At 40.2% G+C, this 21,034-nt stretch overlaps 1 protein-coding gene and 1 pseudogene across 2 annotated transcripts in view; both read left to right on the top strand.

Annotated features, from left to right (window-relative positions):
• The window catches only part of C14orf39 (chromosome 14 open reading frame 39), a 79,589-nt gene that overhangs the window by 6,657 nt on the left and 51,898 nt on the right, over window positions 1-21,034 (top strand). Inside the window, exon 2 of one of the 2 annotated variants that reach the window (XM_047431324.1) lies at window positions 9,458-9,592. The gene's annotated coding sequence lies outside the window, so the exon portion shown is untranslated. Of the gene's footprint in view, window positions 1-152; window positions 9,593-21,034 lie in introns of those variants that run through there. The other variant, XM_017021250.3, reaches the window with a different exon arrangement.
• SALL4P7 (spalt like transcription factor 4 pseudogene 7) lies at window positions 11,896-13,894 on the top strand (annotated as a pseudogene).

Here is a 21,034-nt window from a genome sequence, read left to right as displayed (position 1 = left end):
CCCCTCCCTCCCTTTTTCCCACCAAATAGGCAGTGATGCCACAGGAATTCAGGAATTCACTTTGGGGCGATGCGTTGTCTCGGTCGAGAGGTCTCCAGAGGACAAAGAGGACTGGGCCAAACTGAAATGCTCCGAGAATTCGCAAGTTTAGTTGTAACGAAACAGCAAACCTTGCGGTGGGAGCAGGAAGCCGGTGGGGGGAAGCGATCTTCTCATTTTTCCCAAGTACCCATCTCTGCATGCCTCCCTCTTCCCCTTTCCAGTTGCCAAAGCAGCTGAGTGGGAAGCAAATCTGGAGCAGCAGGAACAGGACCAGGGATCTGTAGAAGAGGTCAGTTTGAACTCTAGCCTTACTCCCTTCAAAGCCCACTAAAATAATTTTAAATGCCAACAAGGACATGTTCACGTCTGATAACGCAGATGCAGACCACGAAGTCAGACACTTTAAGAAAAGAAGGGTGGGCTGTAGGGACCTCCAAATAAAGGGGGAGAAATATACTTTCTCCCCCTCCCCCAGTTTAATGGACTTGAACAAAGTGCAGCATAGCCACATCTAGAGCCGAGAAGTCATTGGTAGGTCAGGACAGCAACTTAAAAGCTTATTTCCTAGATCTTTTTTAAAATATCGACTTAACTCCTTTCCTTGTAGGCTTATTTTGCCCCTACCTTGTGTTAGAACTTATACCTCTTGAGCTGGGGATAACAACTCTAACCTTGGCATTTTAGCTCAAAAACAATTCAGTAAAAATACAATACAGAAGGGCATCCACGACAATGCGGGGGCCCAGAAAGCACTTCCTAAGCCGCTGATTATTGACCCCTCCTGTAGTGAGGAAGGAGTGGCTTGGTGGCTCTGACTTTGGGCTAGTGGAGTGAATTGGCAACTTTTATTGATTCCCAATTGGCAGTCCACATCATACCATTTTCTGAGGCCTGGGTCAAAGAAACCATGATCTCATCTGGGCCTGTGGTAGGGGTTTGTTTAGTTTGAAGAAAATAACTGGTAGGGGGCTGTATAACAAAAACGCCAGGAAAACCGTTTTGGGGAGGTCCATCCCTAGACAGAAATCAGGTGAGAACGTTCACAGCCGAACTGGACTGGACCCGACTGTCTTTTCTTTAGTATCAAGTACAATTTGTATGCGGCTTGTACAGATCTGGTAAATCAGAAGGCAGATAGATAGCACAGATGGTTGGAGGTGTCGGGTCAGATCACGCCACGCCTGAGTGCAGGGCAAAGCTCGTTCTGACGGAAAACCCTGATATTATTTTCACAGATCTTCACAGTTCACTCGAAAAAAATAGCAGAGGGGAAGAAAAAAGCCCTGAAACCATTTACATCATTTCTGTGAGATTGCCAACCGCCTCAACGGAGAGGCTTTCTTTTCTAAGAGTTCATTTTCTTGAAATACGACAAGGCAGGGGCAAAATAAAGAGGGCGATGAAGATAATGACAAAGCATAAACCTTCTTTCCCTTGGAGCGACTTCCGAATCAGCCGGAAGGACAACTTTTAGAAAGAAACATCGGATACAAGGGCCCCGAACACGCAGGCGGAGGAGAATCCGCGGTGCAGAAAAAGAGGGCCTCGGTGGCCGGGCAGGGATGAAGCCGGACCCGGGAGGGCTGCGATCCCGGAGCTTCTGGCCAGGGGAGGAAAGCACCCCCTTGCTCCAGTTTGCAGAGGTTTATTTTCCCTCTCGGGGTGGTTACTTTGCCGGCTATTGCTCGCGAAATTGCTTGGCGCTCACCCTTAGCGCGCAGAAGAGGCGGTGGGGTCCGCGGAGACCTTACAGCCCGCGAGCCGAGCCGAGAGCCGACCCCGATCCCAGCGCCTAGCTGCTGAGGTGGGAGAGGTTGTCCATGCCCCAGGAGACCACACGTCTCCCTCTCGCCCTTTTACTGGACAGTTTGGAAGCGGCACATTCGGGGAGAGCTGGTTTCTTACCCTTAATCTTTGTGAGCAAGTGGACAGTCTAGGGGCCCCATCCAGGAAATGGGAATATTTATCCCATGGCCCATTTCTTGGATAATAGTTCTGCAAATAATTAGATGAGGGCGCTTTAGCTTCTGCGTGTCTGAGGCTCGCGGGCAACTGGAACTGAGAGTCTGAGTTGGCCTCGCGGGAGCCGCCAGAAGGGTGCGGGCTGCGTGTGGCAGAGTAGGAGCACTGTCTGGTGGCTTGGCAGGAAGGGACTGAGAAGTGCCTGGAGGTTGGGGACTACTATCAGGAGATCCATCTTCGCCATCGCAAGGGACTTGATTTAATTTTATTAACCCAAAGGAAATAGACTGCGCCAGGGCACCTTGGAATCACTTATTTGTTCACCAGCTTCACAAGGGGAAGGGACGAACAGGAAGAAGTATGTGAGCCGAGCCCCCTGGGAAAGAGGGAAGCTCCACGGGATTCCTTAGGAATAACCCTCTTTTGGGGAAGGCGGTGACCCTCACCCCACCTTTAAGGTGTACTTCTCCCAAGTTTGCCAGACGAAAGCTGTGACTTCGGGCTGGCTTTTCTTAATTTTACAGAAGGGTATATATTTTTTTCTTTTACCAGTTTTGAGGTTTTGTGCCAACCCTCCAGGCAACCCCTCACTTCTTATCCCACATTTCATTTTTCTTTTGCATTTGACCGGGAAATCGAGAAAGTACAGTGGCAGCCCTTGGCCTTGGGCCTGTCTGGGTGGTTTTGCAGCTTGCTACTGGTGGTTTGCAGCTAGTAGATTGGGACATGAGGTCTTGGACAAAGGCTCGGGTCTTGCCGGGAATCCATAGACGTCTACTCAGCTTTCTCTAGAGTTGCATTTTGTGGGGCAAATATGGAGAAAAAAATCATGTAGAAGATGATGTCCAAGGGCTGGTTTTGTAGCTAACTGTTTCGTGCTGGATTTAGGCAAAGTGCCCCCAGGGAATTCTGAGGCTCATGCCGGAAATATCTGGAGTTCAGTGTGGGACTTCTGCACATATGGGGATCTCACTCCTCGCTCTGCCCCTACTGATTTTCCTCTCTAGAGTAGAGGACAGGTGGAATCCTGGTCACACCCTGCTCACATTTGCCAGAGGAGAGCAGTGCTTAGAAGTCAATACTTTCCTACCTCTGGGTTCCAATCTTATCTTTTCTTTGACTTTTCCTAAGTCAAATGTCTTTTTTAAAATGTTGTGTTTTTGTTTTTTTCTCACACAATTTCACATAATCAGCTATTTTAAGAATGCGGTAATTGAATCCATCTGAATTCCTTGATAAAGACATTTGTGCTGCATCTGAGAGTCACAGACTGGAAGACAATGAGGTCCCCAGTCTTTTGTGTGATTTGGACTTTGGAAGAGATCTTGGTTTCCCTTTCCTGTGTCTCAAAGCCGAGTGTTGGTGGTGACAACTGGCTTTTAGTTTTATAACTCTACTTCTAAAAAAGTATAAAATAATCTAGAAAGTTTTAAAAGGCATTTTTCCGAGTTTGAAATTACACTATTAAAAATTTACACTTTCAAACATTTATTTATTTGGCATTCTGATTTTCAGGTATATCATATGCATAAATATAGATGTGTGTTTGTTTATGTGTTTGGTAGTACAGACCTTCAGATTTTGGAATGAATTCAATATCCTACTTTTAAAGTACTACTAACTATACTAATAAACTGCCAAGGTAGATTGCACTATTTCATGCATTCCTCCCCTGCCATTGTGCACCTTGTAACAAAGAACAGAGAAGGCTCTTTAATTGTATATTTCTGAGAACAAACACCATTTGAGCAATGTTTGTAGATTTCCTAGTGTTGTTAAATTAATTGGCAAAAAAGTATTACAATTAAAATATTGACCTAATTTTAAGAGATTAGTATATTTTGTTATTATTCTTCATCAGCTATTTTTAAATGACATTTTAAAGTGATGCAGAATTGTTTATATTGTTAAGTGGAGGAAATTTGTATAAGTTTAAATTTGGGACAATGTGCTACTTCACAGTGATGATTAATTAGCCTAATGTTTTCTTAAAAAATGTTAGGCTACCTGTTCAACTGTGTTTTGACTTCTAGCTAGTGGTTGATCCTAGGCACTTGGATAAAAATTTGTATCTAAGCCAAAGAGTAGATGACAAATTATACACTTTGTAATATAAACTGTGGTCTTAAATTCATTTTTCTCTTGTCTACTTCTTTAGGACAAGCCTAAATGTTTACAGCACTAACCACATCACTGCATTACTTGCTTAGAGCTACATATCAGTGGGTTCTTGTCTGAAGGATTAGTGCTAAAAAATGTAGCCAGCTTGTCACTTAAAAACACTTTTCATTATTAGTAATGAAACATTTATTGAATGACTGAAAGAATGATTAATTCATGGTTCTCTATTGGGACATACTTTTTTCACAGCAGCAGGTTATTTTTGACAATTTTCAAATCTAAGATCGAAATATCCTTCTAAAATACACATAGAAACTTAAAATTCAATGATGTGAAAGAATGTAAGTTTGTTTAATGTCCTCTCGGATGCACCAAATATTATTCACATTAAACTGTATGTGTCATACATTGTATCAACTGTTTGTATTACATGTGTAGTAAATCATAATTTCCTTCTAAGTACTATAAAGTCAAATAGAGGCATCAGCCTTCAACAAATACCTTAAATTCTTTGAGTTGATCCAGCTAGTTAGCAAAAAGTGCTTATTAAATATTGCATTATAAAAAATACAGTCACATGACATCTTACCCTTCAAAGCAGCAATTCTCAACTGAGGGGAATTTTGTTTCCCTCCCGCTGTTTCCCCACTTCCAGGGGACATTTGTCAATATCTGGAGACAGTTTCGGTAGTCTCAGTTGGCATCTAGTGGGTGCAGGCCAGAGATGCTGCTAAACATCTTATGATGAACAGAACAGTGGTCCCCCAGACCCCACAATAACAAAGTCAATAACACTGCTGTTAAGAAACCTTGACCCAAAGGATCTTGCCCCAAATGATCAACAAGGCACAGACATACAAAACCTGCTAAAATTTGGTTTATTGTGGAGTTGAAGCATTTACAAAGGACTCAGAGCACTTTCAATTTCATCTTGGGTCTAGGCCATGTTAATAAAATCTGTTCCTAAGAGCTTACTGTAATTTTGTTTTTTCTTAAAATTTACTGTAAATGATACTTAGGATAACCAAATACTTATAAAGCTTGTAAATATCTGTGGGAATGGTGGGGTTGCTTCTATCTTGTTAGGATCTATGTTCTTTGAATAATTAGTGGGACAGAGAACAATGGTTGAAAGTTATTGTTCAGTGTCTCTCTATTTTATAAATGAATAAACTATGAGGACCACAGAGGTTAAATGATTACCCATATTGCACAGTTAGTTAATGGCAGAGATAGGTTTAAAACATAGACTCAAACTTGTATCCATTATATACCTTACTTTTTTTACTCAAGGAAAATAATTTAATTCCAATTGAGTTTGAGGGCAGTTCTGTATCACACACAAATAGTGGTTAATGCCTGCCGTGTGTAAGGTCCAGTACTATTTCATGCTGTTGTGACTTTCAGAGTTTGGTGCACTCTAGTTCAAGGACCTCAGAGAGACTTACACTTCTGGGTCTTGTCAGGTGGTATAACCCTTGCAAGCCCTAAAAACCCTTGAATCAAAAATGTGTCTCTGGGATTTTTGTTGTTTTTTGAGCGGGGGTGGAAACTGGTGGAGTCTGGTGTTACTGAAGACCCTTCTCTGAGTCAGCACACTGTGTATTGGCAGGAAAAATGGAACTGAATGCAGCCTCTAAGGAAAAGAGATTGGACTTGAGGTGTCGTAAAGCTTGGTTTAAGTAAACAAAACCCTCTGAACTCTTTTGTCAGGTCTTCCAAAAGAATAACAGTGATGCTCACAAGCATTTCTATAATTAACAAGCTGTCAACATTTCTATTACAACTACAGAAGTCTATTACAGACCACAGAATTGTCATAAATGTTTCTTTAGGTCTGAAATGTTAGCCTTCATCTTCTTTTCAGCCTAAGGGCAATTTTTGAAACCAATTTTGTTTCAATCATTTTGGATCAGTTGTGTGGTAATTTTGGAAGTGCAGATGCTCTAGGCCCACCTATTGAAATAAAGATTTTTAAATGGAAACACAGAGAGGAGGCTGCTTAAGCCCCAGTGGGGACCAGCTGCAAAGCTCTGGCAGGGAATTATACAGGCAGACAGTGGGAGTAGATTTAGAAAAAAATTAAGGGACAGAGAAATGAGTGCATATTTCCTTTAACAGCAGATTTTTGTTCTCAGATCTTTCAAACTATGAAATTTTAATCTTTTTTTCTGTTTTAGTGTTTTATCTGTTATTACTTTCTCTGTTATGCCTTGGTTTTGGTGAAATTAATGTAAGATAATATGTCTTTACAGCTATTAAAATTGGGGGCTGAACTGATTTTTTTGAATTTTAGTATTTAGTTTTTATCTTTCATTTAGTTGTTTTCTTTCTATCCCTCTCATCTCCTTTCTGTTTCTTTACCTTTTTATCCTTTTTGTGGTCTCTGAAAGATTTCTTATTTCCCAATGATTGTATTTCTCTGTGTTGTAATAATTCATATTTATGTTCCCTTTTCTCCTTTGTGTTTCTTCTGACTCCATTACTCCTTCCTATTCCCCATTGCTGAGGACCTCCTCACTAGACTAAGCCTTGTTAAAACTGTGAGATAGATAAAGATACAATACTCAATTTCTGAAGGTAGATGGGAGGATGGGGAGTGGTTTTCATAGAAAAGGGAAATAGTGTCACTATAATGGTATTTTAGGGCAATGATGTTTCTCAAACTAAACTTTATAGAAGCAGATAAAGCAGTAGAGCAAGGACTTCCAATATTTTAGGTTTAAATCATTGCAATAACCACATGATTTTGGGCCCCCGTTTCCTTATCTGATAGCATAATTCTTATCCTATGGGATAGATGTAGGGATTAAATGAGATTATGAATGACTGTTCCTTGCACAGTGCCTGACACATAGTAAATTCTCAACAAGTGTTAGTTCCCCTCTTGTGGGCAACTATCCACTTAATATATCAATTAGGCCATATTGTCTTAATGATGTCTCACTTTCCATCTTGTCCTGGGTCTCATAATCTTTTGATGCCTGCCTTAGGTTTCTCGAAACTTTCCAAGCAATAGGTTATTTTGAAGTAGGCCTTCCTATTCTGTGGACCACTGTTGTTGCAATAAATTAGTCTAAAGAAGTCAATAGATAGCTTACATGAAATTCCCCAAATGCCCTCTGTATTTGTTTCCTGTGGCTGCCATAAGAAATTGCCACAAACTGAGTGGCTTAAAACAACAGAAATTTATTCTCTCACAGTTCTGGAGGCAACAAGTTTGAATCGAGGTGTTGACAGGGCGATATCCTCTCCAGAGGCTCTAGAGGAGCCTCTTCATGCCCCTTCCAGCTTCTGGTGGCTGCTGGCATTTCTTGTTTTGTGGCTGCATCTCTCCAATCTCTGCCTCCTTCTTTGCCTTACTTTCTCTCCTATGTGTGGATGTGTGGATGTGAAAACTCTTTCTGCCTGTATTTTAGAAGGATGCATGTGATTGCTTTTTTTTTTTTTTTTTTTGGAGACAGGGTCTTGCTCTGTTGCCCAGGATGGAGTGCAGTGGCACAATCATAGCTTACTGCAACCTCGAACTCCTGGCTCAAGCCATCCTCACACCTCAGCCTTCTTAGTATCTAGGACTACAGATACATGGCATCACATCTGGCTAATTAATAATTTTTTGTGTGTGTAGAGACAGGGTCTCTCTATATTGCCTAGGGTGGTCTCAGACTCCTGGCCTCAAGTGACCCTCCTTCACCTGGCCCTAGACAGTCTATTCTTATTACACACACTCACACTTACACACACACACACATACCTACATGTACACACACATTCCTCTCTATTCTTTCCTCTGCTCTAGTTCATTTGTTGCTATTTGTGCTCTTTTCTCATGTATTGTCCTCATCTGGAGTGCTAGGTTTTTTTCCTACTGGAAATGTCTTTTTTTTTGTTCGTTTTCCTTCTTATAAAAGCAATACATGGTCATTGACATAAAAATCCAAGCACTATGGTTATATAGAGTCAAAAATGAGTTTCTCGTAGTACTATTATTAGAGATAACTACTATTAGTGCTAGGTGCATATCCTTATGGACGTTTTTCTCTATGCACAGAGACACACATTTTTTCCCCTTTGATGAAAGTATTTATATTATCCATACTGTTTTATAGCCTTTTCCTGATAACATTTCGTGAACATTTTTCTTGACCATAAATATGTTATCATTTTGAAGGTTACATTGTGTTCTACAGCATAAATACCACAACTTATTTAACCAGTCCCTATTGATGTTTAAATTCCATTTTTTCACCATTATAACAATGAAGCAAGGAACATGTTTATGTATTGTCCAGTTTTTTCCTTCAAATTATTGGATGTGAAATGGATGGGTCAAAAGGTATACACATTAAACAATTGATACATACTTCCAAATTTCCATCCAAAAAGACTTTTACCAATTTTTACTTCTACCCACTCTGTATAAGAGTGTCATTCCCAGCCAGGCGTGGTGGCTGACACCTGTAATCCCAGCACTTTGGGAGGCTGAGGTGGGTGGATCACCTGAGGTCGGGAGTTCGAGACCAGCCTGACCGACATGGTAAAACCCCATCTCTACTAAAAATACAAAATTATCCAGGTGTGGTGGCGCATGCTTGTAATCCCAGCTATCTGGGTGGCTGAGGCAGGAGAATCACTTGAACCCAGGAGGCAGAGGTTGTAGTGAGCCAAGATCGCGCCATTGCACTGCAGCCTGGGCAACAAGAGCGAAACTCAATCTCAAAAAAATAAAAAATAAAAAAGGAGTGCTAGTCCCTCCTCACACTCTGGTCATTAATCTTCTTATAAATCTTTCCCAACTTGATAGATGAAAAATAATTTCTCATTTTTTAAAATGGGCATTTCTTTGATTATTAATGAGGTTATACATGTTAATATATTTATGGGTAATTTGTATTTATTCTTTGGAGAATTTTCCATTGGGATGTTTGTTCTTTCAAAATCATATGTAAGGTCACTTCAAATATTAAGGATATATATTTTTTCTTGTCGTGTATTGCCAATATTTCTTCACAGTTTTTCACTTGCCTTTTAACTTTATCAAGTTGATTGCCCTACAGGCAATCACCTATAGTTTTTACATAGTTGAATCTATCAAATCCAGTTCTGCCTTAGGGGCCATACTTAGTATTGCCAACCTTGCCAGTTATAAAAATAATCTGTATTTCCTTCTCCTACTATTCTTAGATTAAAAACATTTTAAAACTGCTTAATACTTCTGGATTTATTTTGTGGTCTTATGTAAATTTGAAATCTAACAGCGTTGTTTTCTTCTTCAAATCATTTTCTAATTCTACCACAATTATTTATTGATTGATCTATTCTTTTTCCACAGATTTGAAACGCCACCTGTATCACATACTAAATTTATATACATAGAAATTATTCTGGATCTTCTATTCTGTTTCATCGATATGTGTATTTATTCCTATTGTTTCACAACTGCAGTTGAAGTACATTTTAATATCTGGTAAGGCGAGTTATTCTTCAGTATTATTTTTTTTTTTTTGAGACGGAGTTTTGCTCTTGTCGGCCAGGCTGGAGTGGAATGGTGTGATCTCGGCTCTCTGCAACCTCCGCCTCTTGGGTTCAAGCGATTCTCCTGCCTCAGCCTCCTGAGTAGCTGGGATAACAGGCGCCCACCACCATGCCCAGCTATTTTTTGTATTTTTAGTAGAGATGGGGTTTTGCCATGTTGGCCAGGCTGGTGTTAAACTGATCTCAGGTGATCCGCCTACCTTGGCCTCCCGAAGTGCTAGGACTGCAGGTGTGAGCCACCGTGCCCGGCCCTTCAGTAATATTTTTAAGAAAATTCTTTGGCTGTTCTGTGGATATTTTCTTCCAGATGAACCTTAAGATCAGTTTGTCAATGTTTTTTCACTATCTCAGAGTCCAGTGGGGGTTTTCACAGAATTGTATTACATAAATAGACTAATTTGTGATAAATTACATCTTTGCAATGTTGAATGTTCCAGTTCAAATACATGAAATGACTGTCATTTATTCTAATGTTTTTTAAAATGTCCTTCAGTAAAAGTTTATCGTTTCCTCATGTAGGAAAAGCAGACATGAGATTTGAAAATGCACCAAGGATTGAGGTTATTATTGTAAGGGCCTTAAGTCCTATAGAAGTCCATAGATTACAAAGACATCATTGTATTACAGAGTAGTACAATAATTAACATTTAGCATTGTTTAAAATAAATGAAAAAGTTTTTCCACTGAATTCCCTGAGTTGTAGATATAGATAATTGGAGGGGAAGAGGAGCAGAAAATGAGGTTAGAGTTTGGAAAATTGTCTGGAGCAGGGTGGTGATAACTGGCCTTTCCTATATCTCCCTAATCCTATGAGTGCACCCAGGCTGAAGCCTGAGAAACAGTCTTTAATGAAATTGAGTGATTAGCCTGGAAAGGTATAGACCTCTCAATGAGAAATGTCTGTGCTTAATTAGAGTTTGGAAATTATGTTAGCTCATTCAACATTAGTAAGGGAGCCCAAGAGTTTTAATGATATAGTAAAGAATATGTGCATTATTTTGTGTATAGAAATATAGAAGTGCAATTAGAAACTCCAGGGAAAACAAAATCTGTATAAGAAATTATAAATGAAATATGAAAAATACTAAAACATGCTTCATTACAATAAATTCATGGAAACTAAACAAAGAAAATTTAATTGACTTTGATACTTAGAAATGTGGTGCAAGTAAGTTTTCAAGTGGCATATACAGTGACACAAAATTTCATTATCTCTACTTTTCTGTATTTACCAGGACACTGTAGCTGCAGGCAATAGAAACCCAACTTAGACTACCATAAGTACAAAGGGAATTTTTTTCTTTTTTCTTTCTTTCTTTCTCTTTTTTTCTTTTTTCTTTTTTTTGAGATGGAGTTTCACTTTTGTTGCCCAGGCTGGAGTGCAGTGGTGCGAACTTGCCTCACTGCATCCTCTGCCTCTTAGGTTCAATCGATTCTCCTGCCTCAGCCTCCCAAGTAGCTGGGATTACAGTCGCCCGCCACCATGCCCAACTAATTTTTAAAAAAATAGTTTTAGTAGAGATGGGGTTTCACCATGTGGGCTAGGCTAGTTTCGAACTCCTGACCTCCAGTGATTGGCCCACCTCGGCCTCCCAAAGTACTAGGATTACAGGTGTGAGCCACTGTGTCCCACTCAAAGAGAATTTTTTGACTTGCAGAACTGAAAGTCTAGAGGTAGCAGATTCTTCCTCATCTGTGACTGTTTTCCTTATAAGGACACTTCTTAGACTTTATTCTGTCAGAAGTGCTTATGAATTGAATTGGGATTATAGTCATTATGACAAACTGTTGCTGTAACCTATTTGTTTCGAATGCCAAGGAGTGTGTGTGTGTGTGCATTGGGCCTGTACTCATGGAGACTACAGTATAGTGGATGAGATAGATATTTATACGATAATTACACAAATAATAGAGAATTAAAACTGTGTTAATTGCTATGAAGGATAAGTGCATGAACTATGAGAGTTTATAACAGACATTGCTGAGTCTGTGATACTTGAGTTTAAAGTTGAAGAATGAGAAGGAGGTTATTAAATAAAGAAGGATAGAGCATTCCAGGCAGAGGAGCCAGCAAGTACAATATCCCCCTGATGGAAAGAGCATGTTAAGAACTGACAGAAGTTCATAAAGATGGATTGCAGAGGAAGGTAGAGTTAGTATAATATGAAGATGGAGAGATAGGTAGGGACAGGACCGTAAAGGTCCCTGTAGGCCATGATAAGAATTTTGTCCTTGACTTGGACATGTGCTTTCCAGCTGAAGGAAGCTAACTTTCCCAGCTCCAATAACTTGTGCTGGAGGCCAAATAACTGCAGCTCCCCCCAGCACCCAGTGCTTGCACCATGTTGTTGAACAAGCAGGTGAAACCACAGCACATCACCTTGGAGAAGGGCCAGGGTGAGCAGTAGTTGCAGAGCTGACTCGGAGTTTGCAGATGCAACCTAGTGGCACCAGTGGCAGGGGAGCCAGGTTCTCCAATGACCCACCTAGGAAATGGTGATAAATTGAATGAGAATGAAGCAACGGTAAAGCAGCTTCACTGGGAAGAGGCTAACAACTGAGAGATGCTGTGCAAAGTTCTTTAGCCTCTCTCAGTTCTTGAAACATAAGAAAAATTGTACAAAAAATCCACCTATCTTCATCATGTATGACAGCAAGAGGCCAGTGCCTTGAGAAGACTTCTTTGGAGCTGTACTGAGCCACCAGCCACCCAGTCCAAGCAGTAAGAATGGTCACATGGAGAATGGTGGCAGCTAAGGGGACATAAAGGAGAAGCTGGATGCAGAGTCTGTCATGTACTTAGAGACAGACACTGCCCTGCCACCCACACCCCAGAACATAAGCTATTTACCCAAAGGGAAAGTGGCCAACACAAATGTGACTCTTCAGGCACTATGGGGCAACAAGGTATGATGAATCAGCTTCTGTGGCTGGCACCAACAGTATCCAGTGGGTCCTTGAGCAGATCCTGTTTCTGCAGCAGCTACAGCAGATCCAGCTCACCCAGCAGATCTGAATTCAGATGAACATGTGAATCTCCTGTACTCACATCAGGGGAGGAGTGTGATACTCTATAGAACTTGGACAGCCACATGTTCCAGCAGGTTTCTGCAGCTGTGGCTTTGCTCAGTCAGAACACTGGAAGCCAAGGTCTGTCTCTGGATGCCTTGAAACAAGCCAAGCTACCTCATGCCAAAATCCCTTTCACAACTAGCTCTTTGTCCCTGGGACTGATACCCTTCGTCCTAAAGTGGGACATATGTGCTCCCAAATGTCATGTCTTGCCCCCTGAGTACTTTGCTACCTCACACCCTGGACTCTGTGCTCTTCCAGAGTTCTTTCTATATTCTATACTGTAGTGCTAGACCTTTCCAAGAAAGGGAAAAGGAAGCCATGGAACACCTCAAGGTGGATGTCAAAGCCAAAGACAAAACCATCGTCTACAAGCACAAATTTAAGTATCGTAGCAAGCTTTTGGGGACTGATAGCTCCTTGTAGATACAACTCCGCTCCCACTTTGGAGAGAAACCCTTCATGTTTTCTGTCTGTGGTCATGGCTTCACCACCAAGGGTAATCCAAGGTGTGCTTTCATAGATATTTTCAGGTAAAGGCAAACCTTCAGCTGTTTGCCAAGTTCCAGGACAAAATGGGAGCAGGCAATGGCATTCCCATGTACTCTCTGTACCTGTCCCCATAGATGAATTGAGTCTCTCTTTAGGCAGCCAACTTGTCTTTGTAACAGGGATGCTCTCCATAGGTGTACCTCAAAATCTCCCTTCGGGTACTGAGCTCAAGGACCTCATCAGTGACCTGTTGCTTGATGACCTGCCGCTCAGATCTTCTTCAGAATGTAAGGGTAGACTCACACAACCTGGGGTGGGACCAAACTATAATTCCCCAAGGATTGGTGGCCTCCAACGGAGTGGAATCCATGAGCCAGGGTCAGAGACCCAGAAATTGCAGCAACTGGTGGAGAACATTGACAAGTCCACCACCAACCCCAATGAATGTCGCATTTGCCACTGAATCTTGAGCTGCTATAAATCCCTCAAAATGCATTACCGTGCCCACACTCGGGAGAGACTGTTCCAATGTAAGATCTATGGCCAAGCTTTTTCTACCAAAGGCAACTTGAAGACACACCTTGGGGTTCACCAGTCCAACACATCAATAAAGTTGTGTCTCATCAGTCAAAAGAAATTTACCAGTGTGGCCATGTTGTACCAACATATTAACATGCTGGAGAATCTTGGTGATTTTACTGGTCTTGAGCCAATGATGGCCAGTGAGAATGGCAATGTAAGTGCCATCTGTCATGATGATGTTGTAGAAAGCACTGATGTAGACAAGGTCAGCTGCCAAGATGCTCCCAGTAGCTCCTTGAAGGTCCTTGCACCTCCCCCTAGAATCCACTTGGCATGACTTACTCTAACTACATGATGGCTTCCCTAGATGTGGGTTCTGCCCATTTTAGCCTGCAGTGGTAGAGCAACTGAAAAAATGGTCCAGTGGAGAGCCAAAGTCCAGATGCCGTGGAAACCATGGCCTTCCAGGCACTCTACCCAGCCAATAACCAAGCAGAAGCTATCACATCAGAGTCTCCCAATGCTAGGGCAAAGCTGAGAGCTCTGACAATAGCTGCACCAAGATGGAAGGTCGGAGCAGTCTCCCGTTAATATTTATACAAGCACAGCCAACCTATGTCAGAGTTGAAGTTTCTAACATATTTATCAGACCCTTGGCCATGTTCTTGGGCTGACACCTTTTTAGCAGCCCAATCATGCAGACAGGCCAGGCAACACAGCTGCACATGATGTGGGAAGAATTTCTTGTCTGCTAGTGCCTTCAGATTAATTAATGAGCTCACACTGGAGAGAAACCTTTTGTGTGCAACATATATGGGCAAGCTTTTGCCACCAAATGCAACTTGAAGGTCCACTATATGATGCGCAAGGTAAACAATAACTAGACATGCCATGGAAAGAAGCTGCCTATCAAGAACACCATGGATGTTCTTGTTTTTGTTCACCATGGATGTTAGATATGAATGGAAAGAGTCTCAGAAATGTTTCCCAAGGAAATTCTGGCCCCTTTGATGAATGTGGACCCTGTCGTGTGGAACCAGTACATCAGCATGCTCAATGGTGGCCTTGCCATGAAGAACAATGAAATCTCCGTGGTCTAGAGCGCCAGTGTTGACACCCTTCCAGTGTCCCTCTTTTCATTGTGAATGATGTACTGTCTCCAAGATGGATAGCTCCCAATCAGGTATCAGTGCTAATCTGGAAAAACCAGGAGCTACTAACAGTGTTCCTAAACACCAGTTTCCCTCACTTCTTGGAAGAAAACAAGACTGTGGTCAACTAAGCCAAATGGGAACCTGTGTAGAGGGACGAATGCAGCCAGTGAAATCTCTAGAATCTGTGCTTTCTTTCTTTTTTTTCATTTTCTTAAGAAACTCGTCTCCTTTTCCTGTTTTCCTTTTTCTTACTGATATGTAAATGATGTTTACAGTTGTGTCTGAAACCTCAGGCAGTCCTACAATCACCATTGTTGCTATGCTGCTTTGCAAAAAATAAAAACAAAACATGAAATAAAAATTTATACCAACACAAATACAGACTAGATTTTTTTTTTAAATTTTGGAAGAAGTGGGCCTTGAAAGTAGCTTTGCCTCTTTTGACAAAGTACACATAGAAACTTTGTACCCCTAGAGTGACTGTTTCCAAAGTCTGTCACCTATTTCAAGGTAGAACAGTTGGAGCTTATTGAACCAAGTGGAAAACATAACTGCTTAGCCTAACTGGGGGAAAGGGTACTGTATACTTAAAAGGTAACTATATTTGGGTAAACGGACAAGATCTGTCATATATTTAGGGACCTGTTTTATATGCCAGCTAACCATGTACCTATCTTTCATTTTGTTTTGTTTTGAGTGTACCTTAAAAAAAACTCCAAAATACTAAGGTTGTAGAATTACAAAGTTTCTTCAACCCTAGAAACTTAAGTAGAATACCCTCATATGGGCTTATTTTAGTCCTTAGGGAGTCAATGTGTGTGTTGCTGCTTATTTAAGTACAGTTCATTCGAAGCCCCAAGTATGCCAATGCCTTTCCCACACTTCCCAGTTGCCTTCATCTTCCTGAATGCTAGAAGAAGTGGGCACCTGAGTGGGGAATATTAGGTGACATAATTCAGTTTGCCAGTGCCTACTCTATTGAAAATCTGAGTTTTTTTTCTAGAGATAAAACTCATGGAAAGGCATGTTTTCTATCACAGGTTCACGTACTAATTTAAAAAAAATTTCGTTAGTGAGACTGATGCCATGTAATTATGAAGATTTTTTTCCTAAGTATTTCTTGGAGGCTGCAAAGTTAGAACAGGCAAGTCCTGGCTGTGAAAGCTTTAATTTATCTACTTCATTTATTTTTTATTTTTATTTTTGAGACAGGGTCTTGCTCTGTCACCCAGGCTGGAGTGCAGTGGCACAATCTTGGTTTACTGCAACTTCCGCCTCCCAGGTTCAAGCCATCCTCCTGCGTCAGCCTCTTGAGTAGCTGGGACTACAGGCACATACCAGCACACACAGCTAATTTTTTATTTTATTATTATTTTTTTTTTTTGGTAGAGATAAGGTTTCGCCATGTTGCCCAGGCTGGTCTCGAACTCAAGCAATCCACTTGTGTTGGCCTCCCAAAGTGTGGGGATTACAGGAATGAGCCATTGCGCCGGGCCCGTACTTCATTTATTTTTTATTTTTGTAGCCATAGTCTCTATTTTCTTACTTTATAACTACTGAAGGATTCCCAGGCCCTGTCTTAAACTTAAGGATTGATATATTGGTGGGAACAGCTGGACATTCAAGATATTTTTATTTCTTTTTAAAAAATTCACTTTTGTACATGTGTTAATATTGAGCAAATGATGAAACAATGCTCTAATGGTTTAACAAGGAAGGAGAGAAAAAGGCCATAACTTTAGGGTGGAGAAGTCTTTTCTCTTCCTGTGGAAGGTCTTTACTGAAGGCCAGAATGTTACTCCAAGTTTTGTCTCTTAGTTATTGCGCCTGACTTTAGGATAAAAAAATTTTTTTTAAAGTTTTGCCAAGTTGTGCCTTTCCTTCTGAAATTTTAAGAGAACACAATAATAGTACCCGTTCACACTGTGAAGTGGGTATTGTTGCAGAAAACACCCAAGTGGCTTTCTCACTGTTGAGCTAGTAATGGCTTGTAAATACATGATCAATAGGGAAGCACCTGTAGTTGTACCTGGTGATGCTGTCTGTTGAAAAATAAATTTTGAATTTTTTCCAATAAAATGTATTTTGTCCTTATTCTTAGAATGATAGGAAGTCATTAACATGCTTTAACATAGGGATGTGTGTGTGTGTGAGAGAGAGAGAGAGAGAGAAAAAGAGAGAGAGAATATTTACATTTAAGAATTGCTCTGTCACAGGATGGAGAGAGAATGGGCAAGAGGGCTAGAGTAGATATGTGGCAAAACCAGTTTGGAAGTTAGTACAATAATCCAGGTGAGAGAATGAATTTAGATGGCGGCAGCTGAAATAGAGAAAAATGGATGGAAGATATTTAAGAGGAAAAATTGGTAGGATTTATGATGGATTTGATGTGGGGGATGATAGGAGAGGAAGGTTGTCACGGTCTAGGTTTCTGGTATGCACAAATAGATTCTGGTCTCATTAATGAAAAGGATGAAGGAGGTCAGCATTAGTGGGGGAAATACATGAGCTGTGTTTGAGCTTGTGCTGTGGTTTGAATGTTTGTGTCCCTCCACAATTCATGTTGAAACTTAATCCCTAATGTAATAGTATTAAGAGGCGTGATGAGGGCTTAGTATTAGTGCCTATAAAAGGGCTTGAGGGAAAGACTTTGTCCTCTTCACCATGTTGGGACATAGCATTTGTCCTCTCCGGAGGACAGCAACAAGACACCATTTTGGAAGCAAAGAGTGTGCCCTTACCAGACACTGAATCTGCCAGTGCCTCAGTGTTGGACTTACTGACCTCAAAAACTGTGAGAAATAAATTTCTATTATTTATGAATTATCTAGGTAGTGGTGTTTTGTTATAGTGCAGGATGGACTAAGATAGCTTATCACGTCAGCAATTAGATACGTGGGTCTGGAACTCAGGATAGGTGTCATGAACAGTTGCTTTTCCTTTTGACTGCCCAGCATTTAAATCCAATTCTTATGTTTGGAAAGTATTTTACCCTAACAGTCTGGGAGGAAGAAGAGATTTATGTGTCATAGGCTTCTTTAATGAAATATATCTACCCAAGATTTTGAATTGGAATGAGTGACACCAGCAAGTGTGCCCTAGAAAGAATCCTATCTGTTAATAGGTGACAGTTAAAGTAAGATAGAGTTTGTAGGGCAGTTGTGGTAGTGCTCATGATAGTGATGTGAGCTGCAGTCCTCAGTGCTTGGTTGTAGTGATGGTGTCTCGACTACCAAATCTGTGGTATGAGTTTGGTTTTTGCTTCTTGCTGTATAGCACATGAGTCTGGTTCTCTAGCTATTCTGGGGAGTTTTGTGTTACACAGTAACATTTTTAAAATTTTTTACTTTATTATTATTTTTTAGAGGCAGGATCTTATTCTGTTGCCTAAGCTGGAGTGCAGTGGTGCGATCATAGCTCGCCACAGCCTTGAATTCCTGGGCTCAAGTGATCTTCCCGCCCCAGCCTCCCAAGTAGTTAGGACTACAGGTGTGCACCTATTTATTTATTTATTTATTTATTTATTTATTTATTCATTTATTTATTTATAGAGATGGGTTTTCTCTGTGTTTCCCAGGCTGGTCTTGAACTCCTGGGCTCAAGCAATCCTTGTGCCCTGACCTCCCAAAGTCCTGGGATTACAGGTGTGAGCCACCATGCCTGGTCCCAGTATTCTTCAAACAAATTTCACCTTTGCTTAAATCAGCCAGAATTAATTTCTGTTGTTTGCAATTACTGACTTGGATTGATACTAGAGGTCTAGGCTAGAGATACACATTGTGAGTCACCTGTATAGTGGTTGCATTAGAAACCATGCACATGGAGTACAGATGAAAAAAGGCCTAGGACTGAATCTGAGATTTACAACATTTAATGGCTGAGTGGAAGGAGAGGAGGCTGAAAGAGAAGATAGAGAAAATTATGAGAGATGGGAGAAAAATCATGCAGCTACTGCGGTGTTTTAAGAAGGAAAAGTGATAATGCAGAGGTCAGGTCAGTTAATGACTGAAACATGTTCATTGGATTCAGTGTCATGAGGTCATTGTCATCTTAGAACAAATTTTATGGCATAATGGCATTGGAAGGCAGATTGGAGTAAGAAAAGAGGAGGGAGACTGTGAGTTTAGACAACTGTTTAGAAATCAGGTTGGCTGTGAGAGAAATATGATGTTGACTCATAAAACCTTTAATGTCTAGGGAAGATTCTCTCTCTTTCATTTTCTGGTATAGACTTGACCATGTTTAAAGCTGATGAGAGGGATCCAATTAAATGGAAGAGATTGAATACACATAAGAGAAAAGGCATATTTGATATTTTAACGCTTCTGAGGAGGTAAGAGGAGATGGTACTCAAATACAGGTGGAGGAATTGGCTTTAGGTAAGAGGAGAGAGAGTTCCACTATTGTAACAGAACAGAAGGAGGATAGATTAATGAAGATTTAAGTAGGATCATATGTTTGATAGCTGGAATTTGAAGAAGTTTCATTCCAATGTCTTCTATATTTTCTATATACTATGTGCTGGGCATTATATTAGGGGCTTTATAGAAATTATTTTATTTAATCTTCATAACTATTCCATGATGTTGGAGTTATTACAATTTCCACTTTATATGTGAGGAAACGAAAGCTTGGATTAGAAACTTGCCCAAAGTTTTGACTTAACAAATGACAGATCCAGAAGTTAAATCCATATCTGCCTGACTGCAAAGATTGTTTATAGAGTTGACTGGATGCATACAAAGAAAATATCAAAGAAAAAATCAGCAAGACTTTGTGAATAATTATTTATGGGAGATGACTTTGGATTTAGATCAGGTTAAATCAAGATTGATGGAAAGCATATAAAGATAAATATTTGGATAACTCCCTGATAATAGGATAGGACTGGAAGTAAAGATTTGGGACTCATAAGCACAGGTGTGATAATTGAAGTTACTATGGATGCATGACCCCCAAAAAAGAAAAGGGTAGAGTTAAGGAAAAAAATCTTGGTTAGAGTCCATGGTGATGGTGAGGGGGAAAGAAATAGAAGATGAAATCTGAGGGGCAGATAGGAGAGGTGGGAGAACCAGAAGAGAGTAGTGTCTTGGAAGTCAGGATTGCAGAGAGTTTAAATGGAACCAAGTATGGAAGAGAGTAAGAAAAAAAGGAAGGGAGGAGGATAAGACTGAGAAAAGACCATAAGATTTGGAATTAAAATGTTGTCTTGATTACCTGAGAAAGTAGTTAAATGTGATGGAGATAGTAGTTAAATTGAAAAGGTCAATTAGGAAATGAGTGGAGAGGAATTGTAGGTAGGAAACACAAGCTTCCTATTAGATAAATTAAGCAATAAAAGGAAGAAAAGGAATACCGTGCAATTAGAATGAGCAGCAGGTTTAAGTAATGGATTTCTTCAGATTGTTGATTATGGATCAAGAGGCAAAGGTGTCAATAATAGATAAGGAAAATTTTATCTTGTGGGAGTACTTTCCCAGAAAATGATTTGTTAAGATAAATGTTTATCTGAGTCAAAGTTCTATAATTTTTCAAATGGAGCACTGTAATTCACTGGAGTGAGAGGGAATAGGGAGAGAGGGAAATAAAATTTATTTAAAACTCTCCAGTAGATGGAGCATCTTCATTGCTTTTCCAGAAGAAAATTTTGGAATGGAATAAGATAGATGGTAGTGGTGTTGGTAGAACTTAGGTATATTTTTATGAGGGTAATTAGGATATGTATAGATGTGAATTTAAATGCAAATAAATTGATTTTCAGATCTCAGTAAGGTGGTGTTTCTAGATTTCTACAAATTTTCATAAGAAAATCTAGTGTTAAATTGAAGTAGACTAACTTTTTACCTACTAAATTTTCTTGACAGTCATAGCAATGTAGTGCCAGTAAGACAAAATAGATTTACACTTTATATTTGCTTTCCTATGTTTTCCTAAAAAGAAGTAGTTAATAAATATAAACAAATGTAATAAGAGTAAATTTGGGTTAATATCTAAATAAGGAACTCAACTAAGCAAGAAAACAAACAATCTGATTAAAAATGGGCAAAGGACCTGAATAGACATTGCTCAAAAGAAGATGTGCAAATCGCCAACAGATATATAAAGAAATGCTGAACGTCAATAATCATAGCGAA

This window comes from Homo sapiens, chromosome 14 (assembly GCF_000001405.40).
Source record: "Homo sapiens chromosome 14, GRCh38.p14 Primary Assembly".
In the NCBI taxonomy this organism is placed as follows: Eukaryota; Metazoa; Chordata; class Mammalia; order Primates; family Hominidae; genus Homo; species Homo sapiens.
This window is presented reverse-complemented; position numbering and strand designations above follow the sequence as displayed.